We start from the raw sequence: 27,682 nt of genomic DNA, 5'->3' as shown, positions 1-27,682 counted from the left end.
AATCATGGCATCATGAGAGATCAGAGGCAAAGGGCCTTTACAAACCAGACTACCTAAGAAATCAGTAAGAATGAAGCTGTGTGATACAGGCCAAGAATGGCCTCTCAGAAAGCCATGGCCTGTATGGTAGAGCTCTGTGACCAAGGATCACAGCTTGAGAAATGTTATCTTGCAGAGATAGTCGGATCATGTTATCTTACAGAGAGAGAGCCAGAGAGGCAGAGCTGGGACCCAGATAGCATGACTGATATCCTCAGGATGAGATATTCTACTATTCAGTGTAGATAACTCTTATAATCCTCACAAGAACCCTAAGAAGTAGGCTTTGTTAAATTCCTCTTTGTTCAAATGAGGAAACAGACTGAGAGAGATAAAATGACATCCAAGGTCACACGGCTTTGAAGAGGTTGAGTCTAATAGATTCATACCCAGATCTCTTAGATTCTAGAGTTATTTTTTCCAGAGCCCAGGTACTCTGCTGTTTAAAAAAATCATGCCAAGGAACCAATGACCATAATTAAAATGCCAGTCCCCAGGAAAGTTGCATTTTAATATTATTTATTCATTCAAGAAGAAAAATAGCTAAAACCTAAATACTATACTCTGGTACCATAATAGTAAGAGCTACATGTCATGAGAAGCCAGGGGAAGCAACAAATAACTTCACCAGAGGTTTTTGATAGGGAACTGGAAAGGCTTTTCAGAAGACAGAACATTTGAAGCAAGTCCTTGAAAGATGAGTAGAAATTCTCTCAGAGAAAAGGGGATGGGAGCTTCAATGCACCAAGCTAACAGCTATAAAAGATCAGTTTGCTGTGTCTCAGGGGGCAGTTGATGGGTGGGGAGAAGCAAGAGATTCAGTTGATGAGGGAGAGAAGGGTCTTGGGTGCAAGGCAAGGGAGTCCTTACTTTATATTTAACCCCCTAGGGGTCATAAAGTGTTCAACCAGAGAAGCCACTCTTTGTAGAAGATGACTCTGGGGATGAAGAAATTAATATATCCCAGGGATAGGAGCTTATAATGTCAAGAATGATAATAGCAACTCACATGTGAATATCATTCTCATAAATCTTGAAATAAAACACTTTCAAGAAAATTAATTTATTTCTAACATCGATCCCGTGAGGTCAATAACCTCATCCCACTTTTACAGAAGGGGAAGGCAGGGCTTCAAGTCACATGCATCTGTCCACTCTAAGTCCAGCGCCACTCCTCAAGCACACACACTCCGGATAATGAGCTCTTGGACAATGGCGAGTGTACAAACAGAACCTGTACTTCTGCCCTGGGTGGGAGTCTAGACCAGCTGCTCTTTGAGTCTGATCTAACTTTGAGATGGTAAAATTCTGCAAGTCAGTGGCAGGACTGGCTGCCTCATGGGGCTGACAGGCTGAGCTGTGGGTGGTCAGGAATGTTTCAGGACTTCCTGTGCCCAGTGTTCCAAGTCGGAGTGTCTAGATTAATGATCCATCTCCAAGCAGACCAAGCCGAGGCCCTGACGCCAAGTGTGGGGCATTGATTAGACTTTACACTCTGAGCTTGCTTTCATCTTAAGCCCTCCATGTGGGCTGGGCCCTAATAATTAACATTCTCTGAGCCCCACAATATGAGTGAGCTGGAAGAAGAGAGTGCAAGTCTCTGAGAAGGACCCCATTGGTGGTGGGAGTAGAGCCCCCAAAGCCTCAGCATGGCCACTTGGCAGATGACCACATCTACCCAGCCAACACTCCCACCCTGCCTGGAGTTTGTCCAATGAGTGATTTTGGTCTCACCTTTGAGCTTCACAACATTTCTATGGGGAAATAGCACTAGGATTATTATCCTCACTGTAGAGATGGGGAAACTGAGGTCCAGAGGAGGGCAGGGGATCACCCAACGGCAGAGAGATCCGGATCAGAACTCAAGTCTCCTGCTTCCCTCTCTGGCATCTTTCCAGGGCAAGAGGCTGTCTCTTTCAGGGATGTTAGACCCTCTTGGCATCTTGAGGAAAGAGAAGGTAGAAGTGTGATAAGATATTTTATTTCACAAGAGAAATCATTGCAGAAGGGCCCTTTTATTTGTTCACACACTATTTCAACAAATACTGAACACCCAGTATGCTCCAGCTGCTGTGCAAAGTGCTGGGAGTGGCAAAAAAATAGTCCCTGGCATCAAGAAGCTTATAATCAGGGAGGAGGGGGAGATGGGTGGTGTGGCAGGAGAGAGATAGGTATGCAAATAGTGAGGTCAATGAGGTGTCATGGTGCTTTAAGTAGTAAGTATATTGAGCATATTTAATAGTAAATACATTTAATAGTATAGCACACTTTTGGCTGCAGGTAGGGTTTGAGTAAGAAAGCATGGGAGATGAGGCTGGAGAAATATGCAAGGAACAGGACACTGAGGCCTCCTAAGCTGGGGCAAGGGGACTTAATTTACCCTGAAGGATTCAAGCAAGAAGGCAGCAGGGTCAGAGCTGCTTTTTAGGATGTCCCCTCCTCTGCTGTGTTGAAGATGTCTTTGGGGAAATGAAGAAGACACTATCTGGGAGGCAAAAGATGGTAGTAGCCTGCTTTGATCAGGTTTTAGCCACAAAGGACACCAAAAACTTTTATCTAGTCTAGAGAAGCCTCTGTGTGGGGTATTTCCTTATTATAAAAAAGTATGTCCTATGGTTGCCAACTTATGCCAAGGTCCCTGGATCTGACCCATTCCACACTCCTCTGATCTAAGAAGAAGCCACAGCATTCTTTTCTCTCTTCACATTATAGAATTCTCCATACCAGTCTACCCACTTCTGCAGGTTCACACTCTCCCGTAGTGGGTTCCCCACTGTCACCAACACATGGCAGCAAAGCACCACACCTTTACAATCCTCTTCTTTGACCTTAGATGACTCCACGTTATGTGGCCTTCCCCTTTCATTCAACATCAGGTATAGATTAATTGAGCATCTACTATGTGCAGACATTTCTAGGCTTTGTGGATGTGGCCTCTACCCTCACAGCCATGGGCCCCTGTGGTTAAAACCCAAACCCCTCAGCCCAGCATTTCAGGGTCTTCTTAGATAAAGCCCAGCTGACCCCATATTCTCCTTTCCCCCTCCAGCACTCTGTACTTGTCACATTTTTTATTCTCTAAATACACTATACTATTTTTTCAAAATTATAGCATTATTAAAATGCTAATATACACACTCTAATTCAAACAATACCAAAGGTAGAAAATAGAAAGTAAAATTTGTCCTATACCTCCTTGCAGCCACTACCCTGTAAATCCCAGTCCCCAGGGATGAACTCTGTTAACATTTGGATAAATATCTTCTCAGATTCTTTAAAAAACTTTCCCTGCCCTCACACACCACCTTTTGCAGACAACTATTTGTCCTTCAAGAATAACGACACTGCCATATTCTCTCCTCTGAGAAGTTGTATGTGTTCCCACAGAGACACAATGCTCACATCTGACATAGCACCTGCCACTCTCTATTAAAATAATCGGTGCACACATCATGCCTCCATCAGGTTGAGTGTGAGACTGTGACCTGAGATCATCATCTCTGTGATGATCACAGAGCTGCTGCAGTCGTGGTCATTATTCACTGTGCCTAGCATGTAGTAGGCCCTCAATAAGTATCTATAGGATACATAGGTGGGTGGATGGATGGATGGATGGATGAGTGGATGAGTGGATGGAGGGAGGGATGGATGGATGGATGGATGGATGGATAGATGGATGGATGGATGGATGAGTGGATGAGTGGATGGAGGGAGGGATGGATGGATGGATGGATAGATGGATGGATGGATAGATGGATGGATGGATGGAGAGACGGGCTGACGGATGGACGGATTGATGGACAGACAGCAGGCACATCTGTGGGATGCTCCACAGGACACAGGTACGGTGACAGTACTGGCACTAAGGAGTGGAAAGGACCTCAGCTAAGCGTAAAGGACCTGGATCCTGTCCTGGTTTTGCCTTCTACTTGCTATGTAGCCTTGTATAAATGCCTCACCCTCTCTAAGACTCTATGTCCCTACCTGAAACTGAATAGCGGAGCTGCGGAGTTTCCCAGGACCCTCCCCAGCAGATGCTCCAGAATGCTCAGCTGGCCCTGGCCCAGCACCCTCACTTTACACCTCTGTAATTACCCACCTGCATGCCTTTATTATAGAGATTGGGGTGGGGTGAGGGCTTGTTAAATAAAGGGCAAAAGGAAATTGCTGGCTTGCCTAAATGACATTGTTGGCATTAACTAGATTAACTTCTGAAGTGAAAAGCCCACAAAAGCAAAACCAAAACAGAGAAGGGGCCATGGCTTCTGCTGGGGGCTTTGTGGTCCCCTGCTCAGCCTGCCTGACCTCCAACCCTAGCTCCCGATCTGTCTTCATGAGGGAGGTCACAGAAGCTACTTTCCTGCCTTCACACATGACTTCATCTCAGCAGTCCCAGGAACATAGTCCTGGGCACTGAGCTCCAGGCCAGGACTGGGGGGCTCCTCGTGGAGCCTCCAGACTGTAAGAGGGATGGGCAGGTAAATAGATACACACAGAGTAGTGGAAAGTAGTGACTATTGGAGCCAGACTTTGCACTGAAGCCTTTCCAGCTCCAAATCTGTGTTCTTTTCCCACACATCTCTCCCATCCAGACCCTTGTCCTTGCCCATCAGATGTTCCTGAGCTGAATGATGAGCTGCTCTCCAGACAGAGCTTCTAGGAAAGGCATTCCAGGCAGAGGCAAGAGGAAGAGGAAGACACAGGAACATGAAAGAGGATGGCACGTTCAGGCAGTCAGGGACAGTGCCACCTGGCACTGGAGCATAGAGGGAAGAATAGCACCTTTCCATTTGGTGTCCCTCCTGGTCATGCCTCTCAAGATGAAGGATACAAACTCTGCAGTAGCCTAGGCAGGGAACTGAAATGCCACATCTCCACACCATGCCAGAGGTGCCAACGTGTGAGAGCATCCATCAGGCAGCAGAGGGAGGGAGTTGCTGCCAGACCCATGGTTAATGCGGGCTGGTATCAAGACGCAAAACAGAGGCAGGAGACTGTGACAGACTCTGACCAATGCAGTTTCTCAGTTTGCAATGTTTATAATCATCAGAAGAGGCAAGGAGATACTGAGGGCGATGGACCCAGCCCTGCTCAATGGTTCCAGATGCTTCAACAGGTAGGATAGGATGGAGCCTTGACATCTGGCTAACTGTCCAGTCTCACAGAGAAAGGCCATCCTTGTAAAAATCCCAAAGTACATAAGAAAAATTCTTCTCCCCAGATGAACCAGAGATCTTCTCTTCCTCACTACAAAGGGTCAGCTAAGTCAAACTTAAGAGGAGAGAAAATGAAGGAAGGAACAGCATCTGTGCCTGGCTTAAGTCTGTGTCTCTGTAATAATCAGACACTTTACATATACTTTCTCATTTCATTCTCTGAAGAGTCTAGAGAGAGGTATTATTTTCTCCATTTGGTTGACAAATAAGCTGAGGCTTAGGGAGGCTTGCCCAAGTCCTCACAGCTAGTGACTATCAGAGCTGGACTTTGCAACAAGGCCTTTCCAGCTCCAAATCTGTGTTCTCTCCCTATACATCTCCAGACCCTTGTCTTTGCCCACAAGAAGCTTACAGTCTAATTTCACTGCAGATCCGGTGATATTTCATCAGCTTGCTAACCTGGGATTAAAAGTCATGAATCCTGTAATTCTTCTGAGCTGCTGGACACCAGAACTGCCAAACGACAGCCCAAGGAGTATTTGAAACACAACTTATGTGACTAGCTCCTCTTGCCAGGTACATTTGTGATACCCTACGTCTGAGGAATGACCACCTAAATAACAGAATTTCAGGCACAGGACAGAGAATATATTCTTAGGTAGGAAGCCATTCCAGCACTTGTCAAGCCTCTTCCACCTGCATATGAGCCCACACTTGGGCCTGAAGGCCACCAACACTCTCCTGAGTCAGGCCTGGTCAGGTTCACTAGATGCCAGACTAGGTCACTGGGTATTAATCATTGCCAAGGGAGCCGTTAAACTGAAAGCCAGTTCATTAAAGATTAAGCTTCATCTCCATAGCCCTCCAGGAAAGGGAGTTTTGGGTAGGGAGCCAGGCCCTATTCCAGGAGGTCACCTACTGTGAACAGGAGGCATCAGGAGCATCTGAGTAGAGACAATGTTTGAGAGAACTCTGGGGGCTCCTGAACCTTTGTCCTGTGTCTGTATCCATGACTGCTACTTCAGGTGGGTCTTCAAGAGAACTAGCTATAAACTCTGAAGTGGAGAAGGACCTGCAATGTCAGGTTGTCTACAGGGAATGAAGGGTTAGGAGGCCAGTCTCCCTGGAAAGCATATGGTAAGGAGTCAGAAGGCCTGGATTCTGGTCCTGACTCCATTCTCCATCTGCTGGGGGCCTTGCACAGGGCAGTTCCCCACTCTGAGCTCCTGTTTTTTCCTTTGATGAATGGAGAAAACATTTGATAAGTGGATTTGTAGTGATGCTTTAGCATGGGTTGCCCTGCGAATGATCTATACATGTTTGCCTTCCTCAGTCTATATTAGCTCTGCACCCCCAGGCTGTCTGGCCCAAGTTTCACTTCCTGTTCACAATCTCTGTGGCCAAGGAAAGTTGGCAGTAAATCTCAAATTCACCATGAGCCCTGAATTGCAGAGATCAGATCTCTCTTCCTGGCTCCCCACACTGGACAGATTGCATCTGCCTACTGGCCTAAGAAAACTCTGGAGGAAACTCCTGTGAGCTCACTAAACCTCAAGAGTAAGAATTCCCCATTTGGTCAATTCTTGGTACTTACATTTAGATTATCCCATCCCAATGGAATCTGTTAAGCCAAAGTTTTGCAAATTCTGCAAAGATACAAGACCTTCACAATTTTGATCCAGTACTAAAGCAATGATACAATATGTACTGAGCCAATCAATAAATGGATACAGAATCATCTCATCTCTTATACAAGGTGCCATGGTGATTTCAGGGCTCCAGTGGTGGCCCCCCAAATGGAAATGGCACTATATGCATCCTGGTTTGCAATCAGTGATTTCTGTTAATGTAAGATGTCTGAAGATAATAGTGGTAAACATGATAGATTTTTAAATAGTAGGGTAATAAGGTGAGGGAGACTTTTGGGGCTGTTGACAAAAGCTCTCCTTGCTTTTTCTGCTGCTCTTTAACCAGGCTCTTTATGAAATGAATCTAATCACCTTTCTGTCTGTAGGTGGCAGCACTGGCCCCTTTCACTCTCCAAGGGGGACCTTGATTGTCATTTAGAACAAGTGCTCCTCTCAAGAGCAAATTACAGGACAATGCGAGGATAGAATAAGATAAACTAGCTTCAGAACAAATGTTCTCACACAGTTAAGATGGGATGCATCTGGTGAACTCACAAAACTTCTAAAGCCTCACTCCGCTTACAGAATAGCCCCTTCCAGATTCTAGTAAGAATACAGATCACCAAAAATGTTTTAAGGGACCATTGCAAAGATGAAAGTTGAGGAAGACTCCCCAGAAGCCCATAGGGTCCACAGAACCCAGCTTGAAAACCCTTGAGCAGGGGAACAGCAGACCAACCACCCGAAGACGACACAATTCTCTCCCCAGCCTGTTCTATAACAACCTGGAGTGTCTCACCTTGGGGTCTATTCTCTCAGATATTGCCCAAAACTTACATATGTTGAGTGCTCACTCTGTGCCAGGCATATTGCTAAGCTGGTTACATGCATGTGTCAATTACACCTCATGACAGGTACTTCCACCATCCCATTTTACCAAGAGGAATCAGTGGATCTGAAAGGTTAACTTCCCAGAATATCCAACCATCACCTTGCACAAATGGGAAAACTGAAGAGAGCAGAAGACTGTTGCTCAGTGTCACATGACAAATCAGTGACAGGGCTAGGACGCTGATTTCTGCTGTCCACGGTGAACACCTTAGAATGAAGGGTTTACGGGAACCGTATGATGATGCAGGACTGGGGCCATTGAAATGGGAAGAGGAGGACAGGAATGAGGCTCTAGGCTCAGGACACACCCAATATCTCCTATCAATAGTTTACCCCACCCTCAAAGAAAGTCCTGGGGAAGGAGTCAGGAACGCCCCTTGAATCTAGTGCCAGCTTTGCCCTGAACAACCTGAACAAGCTGTGTGGCCTCAGGCAAGTCCTTTCACCTTTCTGCGCATCTACACCCTCCCCAAAGCAGTGGTGAGTATCTAATGAGACACTGGTAGGAAAAAAGCTTTTAAAAGTATGAAAGCTCCCTTGAAGCTATTATTATTAATTATTATTATTATTACCATCATCATCTTTCATGGTTATTAATGACCTGTTACCTGCTAGGGATCTGTCATCTAGGAATTTCTTTAAGCCCTTCTTGAACCTGTTTATATTCACAGTCAGCAGCACCTCCCTTGCTTTTGATCCCCAGTCTCTAGCCCAGGTTGCTACAGGCAAGATCACTGGCCTATAGGCCTGTGTTTGAACAACTGTTCTCAGTCTTTTTTGTGGGTTGCATCATGGCCAATTGATACAGTGCAATGCAGCCTCATTTCCTCCTGCCAAACCCCATTTGTATGCCCAGGTCTGTGTTAGGGATCTCAGAAAGAAAGAGAGAAAGATACAGGCTTTGACTTCTCAACCTGCCCCTTCCCCGGGCCCAGAAGCCCAGGGTAAGGTGGGGATATAAGACTCCCTCTTAACCACCTATGCCAGGGCTGAGAAGAGCATCCAGACCTCACAGCCCCAGAGAACACCAAGGACCAGGGCCCCACCTATTCTCAAAGTCTGTTTTCCTCTTCATACCAGGGACAAAGGACCAGGAGCCCTTTCCTGAAGACACTGTACAAGCCAAACATAAACTAAGCTCAACCAACTTCGACACCTACTCTGCTCTGGGCTGTGCAGATTTCAAGTTGATTAGACACTGTCAGGCCCCTGCCTTTAAGAAGTTCATTGTCTGATAGGCGAGACCAAGGCATTAACAGCCATCTTGCAGAGCAAGGTTAGCTAAAGGCTTGAACAGAGGATTCATGAAAAGCAGAGTTAGGGAAGGGCCTAATTAGCCCTGCCTGGGACAATCTGGAAAGGATTAATAAAGAAGGGACATTTGAATCAGGTGCTAAAGGATGGGTAGGAGTTTGCTAGGCAGAGAAGGTGGTGAGCAGAAGAGAAGAATTTCTAGAGCAGGTAGAGCATGAACCAGTATTGATGGCCACATGGTTTTCAGGGAATAGGGATGGACTGGTCAGAGGACAGAGGGGCCCACCTGGGGTTTACTAGCAGGTGAGAACTGCTGGGTGCACGGTTCTACCTGTCACAGAAACTGACAAAAGCCCTCATTTCCTGCTGTTCAGAAAGGAGCCCTGTGGACAATTGAAGTTAAAGCCCCATAGAAGAACTCTCTGACTTCCCCTAGGCAAGTCCTTTAGATCTCTCAGGTTGTGGAGAACCCAGAAGAGCATGGGCATTAAGGTATTTTCATCCTCAGTCCTGCGTTGACTGTTCACCAACAGCATGGGTCTCAGTGTCCCAGCTGAGAAGGGCTACTCAGACATATCGCATCCCTTCCCTTAAGTACTTCTTCATTGTAGGCGACAAGCCAGAAAAAGACCCTTTCCTCATGAATCAGGAGCAGGGGCTGGGAGTGGAGCCCAGGCCTCCTGGCCCCTCCCCTCCCTTCTGCTCATGTAATGGGGTAAATCCCACCTGACGCACTGGAGGAGAGCTCCAGACAAATTCAAGGTGATTGTAACAGTAGCATTTGCAGGCAAATTATACTCCATGAGCTAATTAGGAAAGGATTGGGGCCCTCAGCGTTAATTAATATCTAGTCCCTAACAACTTAATCCTCGGTAAAATCATAGCAGGGATCTCACCCGAATGCTGAAATTCTTTCCTCCAACAAATCACCTATATAAATACATATATTTTAATAGCAGCAATTATAAAGTTCTCTGCCAGCTTATGGGGCTGTTTAACATTCCTGGATTGAGGCCACAGTTTGTTCCCCGGTCTCCCCCCTCCCCACAACCAAGGCCTAATGAATAGTAACTCTTTTGTGGCTCTGCGTTCCATTTAACCAATATCTCCTGCCCAATGGGTCTTCACAGGGAGTTAATAAGCAGCCTGGGAGGACTGCCTGAGGAGGTCCACAAACCTAATCGTTAACTACAAGGCCTAATCAACGTCTGCTTCCCACCCAGAGTCCCCCACAGCTACACAGCCCTGGTCCTCCCAGTAATGGATGGAAAATCGGCAATTTCCTGACAGTTAGCAACCAATTTTCCACCAATTAGGAGAGAGATGGTGGTCTCTGGAGGAAACAAGATGGCTCCTCTGCAAGGAGCTGGTACCAGAAGACAGATGATCCTAGAAGCACCAGGGAACCAAAACCTGTTGGGGTGGGGGGAGGTTGCCGGATCCCTCTCCTGCCTGTTTCTCCCTCCCCTAGGTCTACCTTGGCTTGTATCAGTGGGAGGAAACTTCCAGGGACAGAAACTGCCCTGGAAATTCCACAGGAGCTCTTCTCACTCAGACACCCCATTACACAATAAACTTACCCCTTCCTTCTCTCCTCCAAGGCCAGCCTGACACAGGCTTCTCCTGCTGGGTCTCTCCTCAGTGCCCAGGACTGCCCAAGAAATACCTCCAAGGCCGCTGGTGTGGTGGCTTAATTAGAGCATAAGCTCTGAGTTGGACAGTTGTGCCTTGAAGTTTTCTTTCTCTCCAGTTGTGTGTGACCTTTGGCATAGCACCTAACTTCTCTGGGCCTCAGTTTCCTCATTTGTAAAATAGGGATAGTAAAGCATCTACCTGATAGGATAGTTTACAAGGATTAAACAAAACAGTGTGGATAAAGTACTTTATATCACACATCATAAGACTCAATAAATAGGCATAAGTATTCTTCTTACTATTGTTTTCATAATGAATATTATTAATTAATATAACCACATGTGTGCCAGGCATGGTGCTAAGCTCTATGAGAGCCAATATCTTAGACAATTCTCTGGCTCATTTGCCCCTATTATCTCCCATTTAGATTACTATGATGGTCATCTCCCATCTGGCCTCACACCCCTCCAGTTCATCCCACACCAGATCTTTCTTTATTTATTTTAGAGATGGGGTCTCACTGTATTGCCCAGGCTGGGGTGTGGTGGCACAAGCATAGCTCACTGAAACCTCAAATTCCTGGGCTCAAGTGATCCTCCCACCCCCGCCTTCTGAGTAGCTGAGACTACAGGCACAAGCCATCACACCTGGCTGATTTTTAAATTTTTTGTAGAGACAGAGTCTCACGGTGTTACCCAGGCTGGTCTCAAAACTACTGGGCTCAAGCAATCCTCCTGGCCTCGATCTCTCAAAATTATGGAATTACAGGTGTGAGCCCCTACACTTGGCCCAAAGATCTTTCTGAAATACAGATCTGACTATGCCATGTCACTCCTGGATTAAGACCCTTCCATGGGTTTTGCCCTCGAAGAACAGGACATGCTCCTTTCCTGTGGTTCACACGCCCTGAGCCATGTGCTCCCTGCAAACGCCCCAGGTTCACCTCTCACCACTCCCAGTCCTATCTCTTATAATCCTAAAACAGAACTGCTCTTTAATGGCCATAGTCCCTTAGCACTAGACCTGCCTCTCTGGCTGAATGTGAGGACTCAATGACGGAAAGAAGAACGCTTTGTACGCAGCAGGTACATAAGATATGTGGCTCCCTTGCTCAGTGCTCCTGGGCCACAGCACAGTGCAAAGAGGAGGTGGGTAATAAAGTTGCAGTAATGCTTTTCAGTCATGAAAGAGAGACAAAGTTGTCCTCAGCATCACTATGGCATTTATTGGACTTGATTGTACTCTGAATTCTCTCATAATTGGCCATTCTCATCTGGTAATTGTAACTGAATCAGACACAGTCCCTCCCTCAACAAGCTCAGTCTGCTGGAGAGAGAAATAACAAAAGCAAAGATTTAATGAGCACTTACTCTATGCCAGGCACTCTGCTGAGAAACTTTACGTGGATTATCTCATGGTATCATCTAATTTGATCTTCGTAAGAGCTTTATGAGTAGAGTGAACGTATAATTTATCATACAAACTAAGACACTTCTGTGAGTAAAAGGGCACTCTATTAATAATTACACAGAGACAACAGGCAGAAACTGGGACGTCTCAGGCAAGCCAGGACAGATGGACACCCTGTCTACAAGGCCCATATTCAAGAATCTGGTTTTAGAAATGAGAAAATGGAGTCATGAGGAAGTTAAGCACCACACCCAAATTTCCACCACTCTTCAGAGCAGGGCTTCAAACCAGCCCATCTGACTCCAATCACACGGACACAAGTAATGACAATTCAAGGTGAAACAAGGTTTTCTACAAGAAAAGGGTGAGACCTGGTTCAGGCTGGAAGTTGAAGCAGGAAGAGAGGGCAGCAACAGGGCAAGGGAGGCCAGCCAGGACAGAGGCACCTGAGCTGAGAGCAGGTGGGAAAGGGTGCCTCGGGGACACAGGATGTGCAGCAGGTGGAGGCAGAAGAGGGAGGGAGTTGTTTGGAGAAGAGGGAGGAGCTGGGATCCAGGGGGTGTGGGGAGGAGGAGCTTAAGGTAGAGAAGCGGACACAGAAACAGGAGAGGACTCAACAGAAAGGGTCCTGAATGCCAGGCCACAGGAAATACGGAGGAAAGAACAGTCATTCGGCTTTAGCCCCAGCCTCCTGTGCGCACTGCGTACCCCCTAGTCAATTACAGTACACCCCCACCCCACGGCCCTCTACGGGTGTCAGAGTCTCTCCTTTTCTAAACATGCCTCTTCAAAGCAGGCTAGAAAACCCTCGACATCAGAATCCCCATCAGAAAAACGAAGGGGCTGCGGAGGTGCTTGTACCCCTTCCTTGGGTTGATGTTCCTTCTATGAGTTCTCCCAATGGGCAGGATTGGGAGTGGTGACCTGGACACAGTCGCCTTGCAGAGCTGGGCTCAAACAGCATCCTCTTGCCCCAGGCTTTCTTATTCTTCAGACCCCAGTGCCCCCCACTGCCTTGCCCTACTGTCTGCTCTCTGTTCTATGTGGCCCCCATCGCCTCCAGCTCCTCCTCCACAGAATCCAAGAGGTGTGACATCACCCCCTGCCTGAAATTGGGGTCAGAGCTGCTGGTTTGACTCAGGTGGTCCCTGGATTCCAAGCTCATGTCCAGCCTGGGAGAGATACCAGATGCTGCTTCTGACTGGCAGGCTCAGGGTCCAGGCAGGAAATACTGCTGCTGGTGGAGAAGGAGCCCCACACCCGTGAGAGCCAGGCTTGGGGAACACGCACAGTGCCTCTGCATCCATGCAGCCCTGCCTTCTTCAGCCTTCTGAGGGCTCTGCACCAAACTCTGCCCAGGCCTACTCACCCTGCTCAGAGCCATGGTAGCACATGTGGCTGAGGCCACCCTGCTCCCAGCTCAATCCTCTGAGCCATCTCCACACCTTTGCCAGAATGATTGTTACAACGGATCTCATCAGTCATTCAATAGCTCCCTGTCACCAATAAGAGAAACATTTGAGCGTCTTCACATACAGCCCAGGGGACCCTGCAGATCCAGGCCTTGCCCACCTCCCCAGTTTCACCTTTCTCCAGTTCCCCCACGGGCACCCATGTACCCGCATTCAGTCACTTACTCGTGCATCAAGTGGGTGCTAAAGGTCTTCCTCACCCTGAGCCCTGCATGGGAGCTGAGAATCACTCCCTACCCTCCAGTGTCACCATGCTGCCTAGGCCTCCCACCCCAGCCCTCCTACCCGATGTCCTCCTGTTGATCCTTCACAGCCTGGAGCTGGGGAGCATCTGGAGACCACCCCTCGACCCCCAGCTCCCACAGCTTTTCCTCATGGTTGGTTGGGTGTCTGTTTCCTGTGTTGGACTAGAGCTCTTACACGAAGGCACTGGGTCTGGGTCAGTCCTGTGCTCTGTCTTCCTGGGGAGGCCTGAAGCATGCAAGCCTTCAGGAAAAGGCCAGATAAATTTCACCCTTCCCAGCTCCTATATTCCTGGGCTTGCATTTTCCCTTATTTTATCACCCACTCCACCCACCTCCTTTTGTGTGCTGCTAGACCTTGGGACACCAGTGTTTGCATTAGAAAAAAGTGCCCCTTCCTCTGGTTGGACATTGCCCCAGGCCAGGGGAGTGTGTCTTATGAGCAGAGCTCTGGCTGGATCTCAGCCCTAACTTGCCCCTCACCAGACACCTTTGTGCAGGACACACCCATACAGCCTTTCATATCTTCCCAATGCTCACCAGGTGCCCAGCAAGCTACATTTGGGAGAAATGCCTTCAACTCACAGTCACACTTGCATCAGGGGTGAATAAGTGTCCCATCTGCAGGCTGTTTGCTTCTTCTGAAAGGAAATAATATGGGGAAATTATGAAACAATAAAATGGGATATTGTAGACGTTCTGCAGACCCGTTGGAGGCTACATAAGACAAAGGCCTTGCTAGCCTACTGCCCATCTGACCACTTCAGCAGGTGCCCTCATGATGAGGACTGGGCCAGTCTCCACTGGGAGAACTTCAGCCATTGTACTTCCTTCCTTTTCTCTCTAGTCTTGATAGTCTTAAATTCTGAGATTCAGCCTCAAAAATCCCTTTCCAATCTTCTACTCAGAGGCACACGTACATAGGCTCACACACATACACATGCATATACACGCATGCTCACTCCTGGAACTATTTGCTGAAATGGGCTCCAGGAGTTGAGCTCCAGGGAAGCTAACTTGCCAGGAAGAGCCTGGTCCTGGACCAGGTTAAGAGATATGGAGGGTGACAGAAATCCCTCTAAGCCCTGCCACAGGCATATTTACCTGGTATTCACACTGCGACAATAGGAGATGGGGCTTGGCCAAGCCAAGGTAGCCCAGCAATGGCACGATGGAAAGCCCAGTTGAGAGGAAACAGCTTAAAGAAGAGCAGGCTTTGGGTGCTGTCTCCATCTCTCCCCAGTTTCTCGTGGGAGGAGGAAGCAGATGAGTTCTGGTGGCCAGAGAGAACTAGGACCAACAGGGGCTGACAAAAGGAGGCAAAACTGGGTTCCATATTCAATAACTTCCCAGGGGCAGCCTTAGGAGGTAATGGGCTGTCAGTCATGGAGATTTTAGAGCAGATCCTGGACAGCTAGCTAGTCTGACCTTTAAGGCCTCAAGATGTGAATATCATTCTCTTTCATAGCCTAAGAGTCCACATTGAAAGTTATTATTTGATTCCATTACTACATAATCTTAAGACTGTCGTAGTTCAGTGATTCAAATAATCTTAAGACTTTCATAGTTTGGTGAGTCAAAAATGCTAAGACTTTATTTTTCCCTGACTCTGGAACCTGGGATACTTAGAACTGTAAAATTATCTGAGACATGGTCATCTCTGAACATTTATTTTAAAGATGTGTTAAGCACATGCCTGCATGAGCTACTGTACATATATTACCTCATTTAATCTTCACAGCGTATGTTACATACTATTATTATCCACACTTTTCAGGTGAGGAAACTGAGGCACAGAGAAATTAAGTAACTTACCTAAGATCACACAAGTAGTACATAGTGGTCCTATAACCAAAACTTGGAGTCTATAATCTTAACCACTGTACTAGGCTGCCTCCTTGTGCTATAAAAGGAATATATCCAGGAGCCCTGGCCAGGCCCAGAGCAAAGTTATGGAGCCCTCTGAGATTGTTGCCAGACCTGGACTCCACTGGCCTGTTGCAGTCCCAGCCCTTGGGCTGGAGGAGCTGTGACTCTCCCTTCCCCTTCCCACCTTAACGGGGTGTTCCTTCCATAGTCTCAGGTCCTGAATTCCCCAGGCAAAGCCAGCCACATTCTTCGGGCTAGAGTCCAAGTTTATTTAAGAAGAGGAAAATGTTATTATGGAAATTACAACAGCTTTACAAAACAGAGCGTCGCTGTATCAATCCAGGACCACAAGAATGCTCATCAACTTAATAGCTTCCTGTTGGGAGCCTTTCAAGCTGTGCCTGAAGCTGGCAGGCATCAGGGTGTGGGACTGAGGCCAAGCAACTGGGTGACATTGCCCCCTCCTCTGCCCCCTGCCCTTGGGAGTGAGAGCCGACAGAGGGGACCCCTCCCTGACTCCTCATACCCTGCAATCCTAAACAATACAAGCAGCTCAGTTTCCCATTCTCAAAAGTGGAGGGGTGTGTGTGTGTGTGTGTGTGTGTGTGTGTGTGTGTGCTTGTATGTCTGGGGTAGTGAGCAGAGCAGCGCAGAGGGCTGGGGCTCCCCTTCCCACCAGCTCCAATCCCATTCCACACCCTCAGCCTAACTCAAGCATAAATGAGGTTGCTGCTCTTCAGACTCTCTTTGCAAACCCAGTGCTTAGCATCTAAATCTAGGTCCTTGATAAGGAGAGGGTAGGAAAAAGTTTAGGAGAAAGATTCCTTTTTTTTTTTTTACCTCCTAAGCCTAAGGAGAGAGAAGGCCAGGGTCTTAACTCTTTTTATCTCTTTTTTTAATAAAGGAAGAAGAAAAAAAAACCATTAAAGCAAAATTCCTGGGGCTGGGAGCAGCCAGGAGTCTGGCGCGTGTCTCCTCCTGGGTAATTACCTGGCATTTAGCACCCCTCTTCCCAGCACTTGTAATTAGCAGGGAAATTAAGATGCTGTCATCCTACCTCCCAGCTTCTTGCCACTACACCCAGAGGCCTGGGGAGGGGCTTAATGAGATGGGAAGGGGACCTGCACAGCTAGAAGAAGTGAAACTACACATCGGAAAGGACTTTGCGCTGTTTACAGGGCCTTTTGACAAGAGGAGAGCAGTGGAGGGTCCTTTGGGGACCACTTCCTGCTGTCTCCAGCTGAAGCCATCTCTTCCCCCCTGAATTCCTGGAGCATGTGCAAGCTGGGCCACACCCCTTCCCACGGGATGCTACCCTAGCTTTGATTAAATGGCTGGGTTTCAGCAGGGTCTTATTTCACTCACCAACATCATTACAGATGTCTCTTGGGTGCCTGCCTCTGTGCTGGACCCTGAGGACAGAGATGAGTCAGACCCACCTGGAATTGCAGGTGTTCACCAGGCAAAAGATATGGCATTTGAGTGGACAAATGTAATACAAGGTCAAAAGTGACAAGACCTAAGGGAGGCAGGGCCAGCTGCAAAATTGGAGGGGCCTAGTGAAAAAAGGAAAATGTGGGGCCCTTGTTCAAAAATTACTACTAATTTCAAGACAACAACAGCAGAGGATTAAACCGAGTGCAGGGTCCTATGTGAGGACACAAGCTGCATGCCCATGAAGCCAGGCCTGGAGGGAGGGCTATGTAGGTCTTGCCAATTTGGGAAGAATCCTTGGAAGAAGCAACATTTGAATTGGTCTGGTTAAAGAGATCAGTACTGTTTAATAGATAAGGTTCCTTTGCCTGTCTGGCCAGTTTTCTCATCCTTTGAGGCCTCACTGTATGCTCTCTCCTCCAGAAAACCTTCCCCACCAAACCCAGGCTGGGTTAGGGCTCTCACAGCCCCTTCCCCAATCCCTCTAACCCTAGACTTCTCTAAAAGCCCTTTTCACACCACTGCAATTGAATCTGCATCTCCCACAAATCCACATGTTGCCTAAGGACAAGGTCTACACCTAATCCCTGTCTGTATTCTTAGTGCCCCATGGAGGCACTGGACAAGGTAGGTGCTCAACAGTGGTTGGCAGAATGAATGAATACACCTGAGGGAGTGGATTGGGCAAAGGCCTCCTTTGACTGATGCTTAGGGAACACGAAGGTGAATTTTTACCTGTAAGGCTGGAAAGTTAAGCTGGAATTCCATCAGAAAGACCCCTAAATGGCAGGCCAAGGTAGAAAGGCGTTACTGTCTAGGCAGGTTTGAGCTTTTAAAGATCTATTTAGCCGCTATGTAGAGGACAGATTGGAGTGGATGATGGGGTGCAGGGTAATCAGAAAGAGGCAGCGCAGTTAGGAAGCTGTAATCATGATCCAAGCAGAAGGTCAGGATGGTTTGGACCAGACAACAGCCACGGGAATGGAGAGAGAGAGGCAGAGTTGGATGAGAGCTTTGAAGCTCCAACTACCCTGGTGGCAGCAATACTGGGTCACTAGCCAGCTATTCCAATTATTCACAGAAATCAATTCCATTCCACAGAGGCTCAGATAAAACTTGTGTTGCCAGCCGACAGTAATGGATGGGGAGCTTAGAGTAAGGAGATAAGAGGAGGCCCAGAGTGTGGGGTGATCAGGTGGGGCTTTGCAGGGTTGGGGAGGAGCGGTAAGAGGTTATCAAAACATCCCTTCAAATAGCAAAGGCTCAGAGCTGGCCCGCCCAGTTGTGATCTGTGACGGGACAAGTAGGCTCCTTTCCAGGCCTGGAGCTGTGAGACTCAGGCCTAGTGGTCCTTGGGCATTATTCCCAAGCGGAATAATGGGGAAGCTAGATCAGTCTTGCTGCCCTGGGGCTTATATTGAGATCTAGTGCCTTCTATCGGGGAGGTGGAGAGACAAGGGCAAGGCCATGGAGTAGGGAGGATGCCCTCTGAGGCCCCTTTCAGCCTGGACTTTCTGGAATTCTGAGTCCATGAATCACCATAACGACATTTTGTCTGCAGGATCAGGAATAGAATGTTCCATTCTCCAGCATGGGACAGAGGGAGTAGGAGGCAGCCTTCATGGTCTCAACTAAGCTGGGCCAGAAAGGCTGTGTCCCCATCAGCCTCAAATTCCTCCACATTTGCTGCTAAGGGAGCCACAGAGCATCCTTCCTCCGGAGACATAAGAGAGGATGTGAATGTGAGAGAGAAAGTTTGCCCAGGGGAAGAGAAAGAAAGCAAAAGACACTGGGGCTTCAGCAGTCAGAAGGTAGACCACAGACTTATGCTGATAATAAATAATTGATTCTTCCATAGTGTTTGCCATCATGGCAGGCACTATCCTAGATGCTTTATGTGAACTCATCATCACCCTCTCAACAACGCTCATTTTATAGAAGAGGAGACCAAGGCCCCAAGTTGAAGTGAACTTCCCCAAAGTCACACAGCTGGAGGTGCAGATGCACTTGGACCTGGACAGTCTGACTTCACTGCATCCCAACACTGTGAAGATGATCTGCTTGCAAAGGGCGTGCTATGCACCAGACACTCATTTAGGCACTTTTATAAGAATAATATCATTTAGCACCTAGAAGGAGTTATCAGCTCCCTTTTACTGATGAGAAGCTAAGGCTCACAGAAGTAATTTGCCCATCTTCTGCCCATTTCAGAAAAGTAGCAGAACTAGGATGTGAACACTCATCTCAGATCCTTGCACGCTCACCTCTGGGTCCTCCCTGCTGGGCAGGGGCTGTGCTGAATGGCCGTGCTCGCGCAGCTCCGGATGGAGGCAGAGTCTGAGGGACCAGCCCCTCCTGCCCTCCTCAGACAGCTTTTCCTCACAGTGTGGGTGGAGGCAGCTGGAGGTTGGCCCTAGCGGCCCCATCTGCTAACACTCAGGGCTGGGAGAAGATAGTGCTTTTTATCTCTGCAGAGAGTTCAAGAGTTTATCCCCACCCGGGGCAGTGGGGAGCCTGGTGCCCATTCTTGGAGGGTGTCCCATGACAGGAGAGATGGAAGGCACTTCCTCTCCCCTCGAGCACTCACTCCTCTCCACACCCCAGCATCACCAGAGGCCAGCGGGAAATGTCTTGGACCAAGCCCTTGGACACGGGTGCTGGGTCCAGTGGAAAATATCTGCCTCAGGGTCCAGGGAGGGCTGGGTACCAAGCAGCCAGAGCGGCCTGTAAAAGGGTCACAGCTCTGGAGGTGGGCACCCCATGGGCGGTGGGGATGGGGGTGCACTTCTAGCTCCGCCACCTTCTGACTGTGTAACCTGGGACACAGTACTTCACCATCGAGCCTGTTTCCTCCTGTCGAAAGCTGAATTCCCATTCCTGCTTTGGAGCGTTGTTGTCAGGGTTAAAACAGGAAAGATCAAGTATTCAGTACCTGCCTCACAGTCTGACTTATAGATGGGGCTCTGAAATGACCCCTTTCCTGTATGCACCACATGAATTTGACTTCAATCAATAAAACAAACTCCACTCTAGTCTCCCATAGATAGAGTGAGCGAGCTCACCCTCCTCCTCCAGCCACCTTCCTTTTCCCAGGTCCTCCACATTTTCCCCGTGCCCTACTGAGGACAGAGCACACCCCTCAGCCATTCAGGACCCCCCATGAGTATCTGGCTACCTGTCTCTAGCCCCCAAGTGACTCATTCTCCCTGAACAAAGCAGGCCCTATCTTTGTCCCCCAGTGCATCCTTCAAGGCCCAGATCATCCGCTGCCTCCTCTCTGAAGCCGCCCCCAGATCCCTGAGGGAGAATGAATCACTTGCTCCACTGTGCTCCGACAGTTCTGAGCTCATTCTGCTTTGTGTTATGGGTATGGATTTGTGTATCTGCCTCTCCAGCAGACTGGGATCATGGTCTTCTAAAATGCCTGGCACAAAATTTGTAAATGTTATTTAATTAATTAATTAATCATACAGAATATCCTAGAATTAGAGCATCTCAGAGCTAGAAGATCTTAACAATCATCTGGTCCAAATGCCTTACTCAATAGTTGAAGGGGCCTGGAGCTGGAAAGTGGGGGAGGGTTGACATGAGGGTAGAGAAGAACAGGTCCAAGGTCGCACAGTGAGCTAGCAGCAGAGGATACACTAGAATGCTGTCCTTCACAGCAGAATAAAATCAAGGGTTGTTATTTTTGCTTTATAGTTAGATAGACCAAGACCCAACATGGCTCTCCATTGCCCTCGGAATAAAGTTCAAATTTGTTATCCTGATTCCCTAAGTCTCTTTTTGGTGTGATCCCAGCCAACGTGTCCACCCTCATCTCCTAGTGGACACCCTCACCAGGAGGGGACCCTCATCCTCCTCCATCTCAGTTTGCACTGCAGTCCTCCAGTACCTGGAATGGGCCCTTCTTTTTTGCCTCCAGGCCTTCCTTGCTGTGCTCTGTGTCTGGAACCCCACCCCTTTGCCTAGGACACTCGCTGTTCCTTTGTCTGGCCAGTCAGATAATCCTTCAGGTGTAAGTTTAGATGCCACATCCTCTGAAAAGGCTCCCTTGTCGCCCCTTGTGCCACAGACCCATGTGATCCCATCTATCAACCCAGGCTATAGTTGTCTCTGTTTCCAGTCAGCCTGAGAGTTCACCAAGTCAGAAACTGAGTATCTTGTATTCCCAGTGCCCAGCACAAGGAATTCGTTCTGGAATTCTGAGTCCATGAATCACCATAATGACATTTTGTCTGAAGGATCAGGAATAGAATGTTCCATTCTCCATTCATTCAAAACGAATGAACACGGATGAATGAAGTATAAGGACCAGAACTCCACACCACAGACAGGGATACTAGTGATCCCAAATTAACTCCAAGCCCTGTGCAAGGGGTAAGCCACTGAGTTGAGAGGAGATAGAAGGAAGGTGTGTGTCAGGGCAACTGGGGGTGGAGTGGAGGAAATGCCAGCAGGAGGGAGAGGGAAACAATGTCCAGTTCATTTACTGGAGCCTCCCTTCTATTCTGAGGTCCAGTGACCACTCTTGTTTCTGGAAAGCCTTTGAATCACTGGGAAGCATTTGCGAGAAAGAAACCCCTTGGGGAAAAAAATCAGTCAGCACTTCAGCCCAAGTACACCTTCACCATCCTGCCAGCATTCCCACCCTCTGGCCAGCCCTGGGAAGATGCTCTAAAACTGGCCTTGAAAAATAGCCTGAAGTTGGCCAGAGGAAGAAGTGGGGAGGCCATCCAAGGTGACTGCATACACAAAGCCTTGGAGGGAATGTGGCTTGTTCAGGGAACAAGGAAGAGTTTGGGGACAGGAAGAGATGAGCCTGAGGGTGAGCCAGAGCTTGATGGTAAACGACTTGGAATGCCATGCTAAAATACCCAGACTTTCCACAAGTTCACACATTCATTGCACTCCTGCCCTGTGCCAGACTCAGTCCCTACCCCAGAGAGCTTACGGTCTAGTTAGGAGAAAAGGAACCAAGACACACTCAAAATTCAGTGTAAGAATGGATGTATAATGGAGACACAGAGAGGCTGCTGCCCAGCCTGCCCTGGAAGGTGCTCTGGGGAAGCAATAGCGGCTAGAAATTAGATGATAAATAGGACCTCTTTCCTTCTTTCTTTCTTCCTTCTATCCTATCTCTTCCTCTCTTCTTTTCTTTTCTTTTTCCTTTGTTTTCTTCTTCTATCTTTCATTCAATTATTAAATAAGTCATCACTAAAGAACTACCATGTGTCAACCACTCTCCTAGGCCAGGCTATATAAGGTGAATGTAGTCAGTTGTGGCCCACGACTACATGAAGATTGTGGTCTACTGGGGAGGCCGACATAATACACATGACCACACCCTATATGCACATACACACGAAAAAACCACAAACCTGCGAAGGTCTATCAGAGAGAGAGAGAGAGACATTTAGCACCATCTCACACCAGTTAGAATGGCGATCATTAAAAAGTCAGGAAACAACAGGTGCTGGAGAGGATGTTGAGAAATAGGAACACTTTTACACTGTTGGTGGGACTGTAAACTAGTTCAACCATTGTGGAAGTCGGTGTGGCGATTCCTCAGGGATCTAGAACTAGAAATACCATTTGACCCAGCCATCCCACTACTGGGTATATACCCAAAGGATTATAAATCATGCTGCTATAAAGACACATGCACACGTATGTTTATTGCGGCACTATTCACAACAGCAAAGACTTGGAACCAACTCAAATGTCCAACAATGATAGACTGGATTAAGAAAATGTGGCACATATACACCATGGAATCCTATGCAGCCATAAAAAATGATGAGTTCATGTCCTTTGTAGGGACATGGATGAAGCTGGAAACCATCATTCTCAGCAAACTATCGTAAGGACAAAAAAACAAACACCACATGTTCTCACTCATAGGTGGGAATTGAACAATGAGAACACATGGACACAGGAAGGGGAACATCACACACCGGCTACTGTTGTGGGGTGGGGGTATGGGGGCGGGATAGCATTAGGAGATATACCTAATGTTAAATGACGAGTTAATGGGTGCAGCACACCAACATGGCACATGTATACATTTGTAACAAACCTGCACATTGTACACGTGTACCCTAAAACTTAAAGTATAGTAATAAAAAAAAAAGAAAGAAAACAGACCTATGATCTGCCGAATAAGCAGGAGTTCCTCGGCAGAGGAGTGTGAAGGATCACATTCAGCAAGAAGGAGTCGTGCATACAAAGGTTCTGCAGTGAGAAGGAGCTTCACATGTTCAAGGAAACAAACAAAAAAAACAAACAGAAGGCCAGGGCAGGCCAGGCACTGTGGGCTCATGCCTGTAATCCCAGCATTTTGGGAGGCCGAGGTGGGAGGATAATTTGAGGTCAGGAGTTTAAGACCAGCCTGAAACCCCGTCTCTACTAAAAATACAAAAATTAGCCAGGCCTCGTAGTGGGTGCCTGTAATCCCAGCTACTTGGGAGGCTGAGGCAAGAGAATCGCTGGAACCCGGCAGGCAGAGGTTGCAGTGAGCTGAGATTGTGCCACCGCACTCCAGCCTGGGCGACAGAGCAAGACTCCATCTCAAAAAATAATAATAATAATAAAGAAAGAAAAGAAGGCCAGAGCAGCTGGCATGCAGGGAACACCAGGGAGAATAGCACAAGAGGATCCTGGAGAGGCAAGGTGCTGGTCAAGTTTTAATGAGAGAAGCAGAACTGCTAGGGGTGATCAGAATAATAAGGGCTTTATTCCAGGGATTTGACCTGATGCAGCTGTGGGGGGTGGTTTAACCATCTATCTGAGGCTGTTTTCTTGGATCTGATGCTGAGGCCTGAAGTCACAAGGGCAGACAATTAGAGGAAAGATGGATGGGAAGATGGAATCCTGAAGGTCTCACTAACTCCAAATTCCCAACTTGGGCTGTGAGGGTAAACTCCACGAGAAGCAGCTTTTCACCATGGAATTGAACACATCCTTAGGGCAGGAGGAGAAGAGGCCAAGGGAAAATACCGCAGGAGGTGGAGGAACTGCAGGCCCAGCTGCTTTCCCATGCTAACAGGTGTGACTGCACCAATGCTTGGGGCCCTGCACTGCCCTTCTGAGTGTCAATACTACTGCTGTTCTTGTCCTTCCAAATCTCCCACAAAATGTCTCTTGTGCCCCTTGTACACCTGACTCTATGCAGGGAAGGCAACTCTGGAAAACCCAGTTGCAACCTAGCTAACTTGACACACTACAAATCCACTATAGGGGGCAGGGAGCAGATCATACTGGGCCTTGTTACGATGGATATTAAGAGCCTATGAAGTCTGCATTGTAAGAGGAAGGCTCCATCCATATTCCAGTCCCATTCCAACAGCACTGCTTTCCTCCCTGAGCCTGGGCTGCACAGAGATGCAGAAGATGCTCTCCCTACAAGCTGCCAACACAGAAGCCACACTGGTCCGTGCCGTTCCTTTCCTCTGCCTCCACAGATCAGGAAGCTCAGCCCCACCTAGCTGGGCCCACTCCATGCAGGATGCTGAGAGCCTGCTTCATTTTCTCCACAGACAAGAGGAGGGTCTGAGGCCAGCTCCCCTCACCCAAGGACCGTTTCCCATCTGCTAGAGCCAGGCAGAGCCCCAGCTGGGCCTAGAGCCAGAAAGATAAGAAGATTCAGTCACTCACTTTCAATTTCCCACAAACTTGACACCCAATTCCTGTTGCAGAAAAAAAAAATCACCTTCTACTCTTGAGATACCAGGAAATCACAGTCTCTTAGAGCTGCAGTGACTGATCCTAAGTGAGCACCCATTCAGACCTGCCTAGCCCCTGCTGTGCAGGAGACTGTTGTGCAAACAAACGATGACATAGACACAGGTAGGACATGGTGAGGCACAGACAAAGGTAGGAATTTAGTCAGACCCATAGTGAGTGTTACTAAGACAGCTGGGGCCATAAACCCAGCTCTCCTGTTGCTTGGCTTCATACACTTTCCAACCCACAAGTACCTGAGAATCTTCACCTGCACACCTGGGGCTCCTCTGCAACCTCACTCTGCTGGCACACCTTTTTTGACAGGGAGCTCAGCACCTCTAGGCAATCTGGATAATTCTCAGTGTTAGAAAGGGCTTCTCTATCCTGAGTCTGAATCTGGTTCACTGCCCTCGGTGAACTCATCTGGGAATTCAAAGAGCCCAGAACCCTCTTGGGAAGATTAATGTGGAAGGGAAAAAATGGAGAATGTTGTATTCCTTGGAATTTTCTGAGACTGAGGAAAGCAGACTGGTAGTTCTCCCTGCAAGAAAAGCCACAGGTTGGAGTGAGAAAGGAGCTGGTAGATATCCACTGGGCAGTCTATAAAGTTGGCAAAACCTGTGATCCCTCCCCATGACACCCTCAAATCTTCAGTCGAGTGACAAAGCATGGCAAAATCCCCAGGGCAATCAAATTTTTGTGGATAAAGGAGAAAGGCAAAGCTTTATGTCTGATTCTATGGTTTGACGTGGCACAAAGGGTGCTGCAGATCCCCAGGAGCAGGAACAGAGAAGCAAGACAAACACCTGCAGAATAACCAAGCAATCTGAGCTTCACACCAAGGTTGACCCAAATCTCCCAGGGGCATAAAAGTCCCAAAGGGCATACAGATAACATACAAACATTGTGCCATTCACTTGCCTTATTCCTTCATGTGTCTAGATATTTATTGAATGCTGACTATGTGCACGAGGCACTGGGGGCACTATTGTGAACAGACCAGACAAGAGATCTTGGACTCCCTGTATTTTTATCTAACATCTCTTAAATAGGTGTCCCACATCTCCAAAGAGTTTGCAAGTTCCTTGAGGGCTGGAGTATATATTTGCCTCCTCCCTTATGCCTAACACCCACCCCTTCCCCCGTCACCCCCCACCACTGCTCCGCAAGAAAGACACACCCTTTACACTGAGTCTCTAGGGATCTATCTGTTCAGGGATTCAGTGGGAGATACAATTTCATCAGTCACATTTACTGACCAGCCGTTTAATCAGTTTTACACAACACACCGGGGCTCAATTCTTATTACAACCTCTCCAGCTGAATCAGGCAGACCCAGAAAGGGTCAACCCAAGGTCATCAAGTCTATCACCCTGCTTCCAGACCAGGCTAAAACCTAGGCTAGATCAATATGAGGGTCTGGTACAGGGCAAGAACCAAACTCTGGGAGTCAAGAGACCTGAGTTTGAGCTGGATTCTGGGTTGAGCCCACTGCATGGTTGGCAATAACGGTAATGTCCACTGGTAGCAATTTGGAAACCCTTTCTCTCATTTGATCCTTTCAACAACCTGTGAGTTAGGCAAGGCAGTTTCTATTATCCCTATTTGACAGAGGAGGATACTGAGGCTTGGAGAAGTCCAGTTGCTTACCCAAGATCACGGAGCTGGTGAGTGGAGGTGCCAGGATTTGAGCCAGGTCTGTCTGGTCCTGGAGGTGCCTTCTCCTTCCCTACCACAGTGCCCCTGGAGCACCAACTCCAGATGCTGCTGTGCTGTGTTCGACTGACAGGAGCCCCAGAGCTGGGCTGATTCATGAACTGATGGTCCAAGTCTTCCTGCCTCCCCCGCCTGATGGATTTACTGGCTCTTCCACCCACCACATCACTGGCCAGTAAACAGGGAGAGGACAAGAAGGCAAGATGGAGGTTGGGGGTGTGCAGAAGAGACAGAGCAGAGGCAGATGAGGCAGCCTCAGAGCACCCATTACCATCACAAGGGCCCATTCATCCTGGGATCTCAGCTGCTGTCTGATCTGCCCTGAGAGCCAAGTTCCCATCCAAGAGTCTGCTGCCTGACAACCTGTCAGTCACTCCCCAAGGAGAGCTCCTTCCCAGGGTAGCTCCTTCCCAGGCTCCCTTGGCCTCAGGGCCTGCTAGGACCCAAGCAAATGGGCAACATGTACAGGGCTTTGACAAGGAAGGGAGGCAGCCACTCAGACGCCAACAACAGACAGACGCACGCTTTTTCAGCCTCCTGCTTTTTAAGCCGATTCTCTGAACACTTAGTCCCAATTCTAAATTCCTTAAGCTCCTTTGCTTACTGCTTTAAGAGATGCAAACTTTTCTTAGGCATTTCTCCTTCCCCTGGACTTCATCCTCACTTCCTAGGTTGGCCTACTTGGTTGGACATGCCTGGCCACTGCACATCCTGCCCTGTGTATCCTGTTGGCCTGAATGTGGGACCAGGAAGAAAGGAGGGAGGGAAAGACCCAGACCATCTAGGGTGGGGTCATGCTGCTGAGGTCGAATCCAGAGGGAAGGGTGACTGTTGGAATTACAGACTCTGCTCATCACTCCTTTGGGGAGCTGAAGTTGAGGGGAGTGCTGCCCTGTTGTGCTTCTGTACTGGTTCCATTTCAACAAACAGGCATTGATGCCTGCTCTGTGACAGACCCTATGCTAGGCCCCTGGTCCAGGCATGATTCCAGCTCCTGAAGGGCTTTTAGACTGATAGGGACAAGAGCTCAGCAAACAAATAATGAGGACGCAGATGATCATTGCTCTGAGGGGAGCTGAGGAAGCCCAGGGAAGAAGGACACCTAAGGAAGTGGCAAAGAGCCTTGAGGAAACAGTTGGGAACCTGGACTCAGAGCCGAATGAAGATTGCATCCTACCATGGTTCACTCACTTCTCTAAGTCTCAGTGTTT

General features: G+C 48.1%; 1 long non-coding RNA gene across 6 annotated transcripts in view, besides 1 other annotated feature; it reads right to left on the bottom strand.

Moving 5' to 3' along the window:
* LINC02794 (long intergenic non-protein coding RNA 2794) overlaps window positions 1-18,808 on the bottom strand; it is a 131,616-nt gene extending 112,808 nt beyond the window's left edge. For 5 of the 6 annotated variants that reach the window (XR_007066068.1, XR_007066073.1, XR_007066070.1 and 2 more), the window contains exons 1-4: window positions 17,766-18,808; window positions 14,832-15,033; window positions 14,313-14,368; window positions 13,383-13,509 (exon numbers count right to left, since the gene is read on the bottom strand). This is a non-coding gene — a long non-coding RNA (long intergenic non-protein coding RNA 2794). The remainder of the gene's footprint in view (window positions 1-13,382; window positions 13,510-14,312; window positions 14,369-14,831; window positions 15,034-17,765) is intronic. The other variant, XR_007066072.1, reaches the window with a different exon arrangement.
* Window positions 6,994-7,538: an enhancer, noted in NCBI's record as "OCT4-NANOG hESC enhancer chr1:48526713-48527257 (GRCh37/hg19 assembly coordinates)". NCBI's record gives its function as "activates a minimal SCP1, AML or CMV promoter by ChIP-STARR-seq in primed H9 embryonic stem cells {active_cell/tissue: H9 hESC(primed)}" and the evidence as "EXISTENCE:reporter gene assay evidence [ECO:0000049][PMID:30033119]".
* Window positions 18,809-27,682: the final 8,874 nt, after the last annotated feature.

The sequence above is a fragment of the Homo sapiens genome, chromosome 1 (assembly GCF_000001405.40).
Source record: "Homo sapiens chromosome 1, GRCh38.p14 Primary Assembly".
In the NCBI taxonomy this organism is placed as follows: Eukaryota; Metazoa; Chordata; class Mammalia; order Primates; family Hominidae; genus Homo; species Homo sapiens.
The sequence above is the reverse complement of the archived record's forward strand: the minus strand, read 5'-3'. Positions and strand labels throughout refer to the sequence as shown.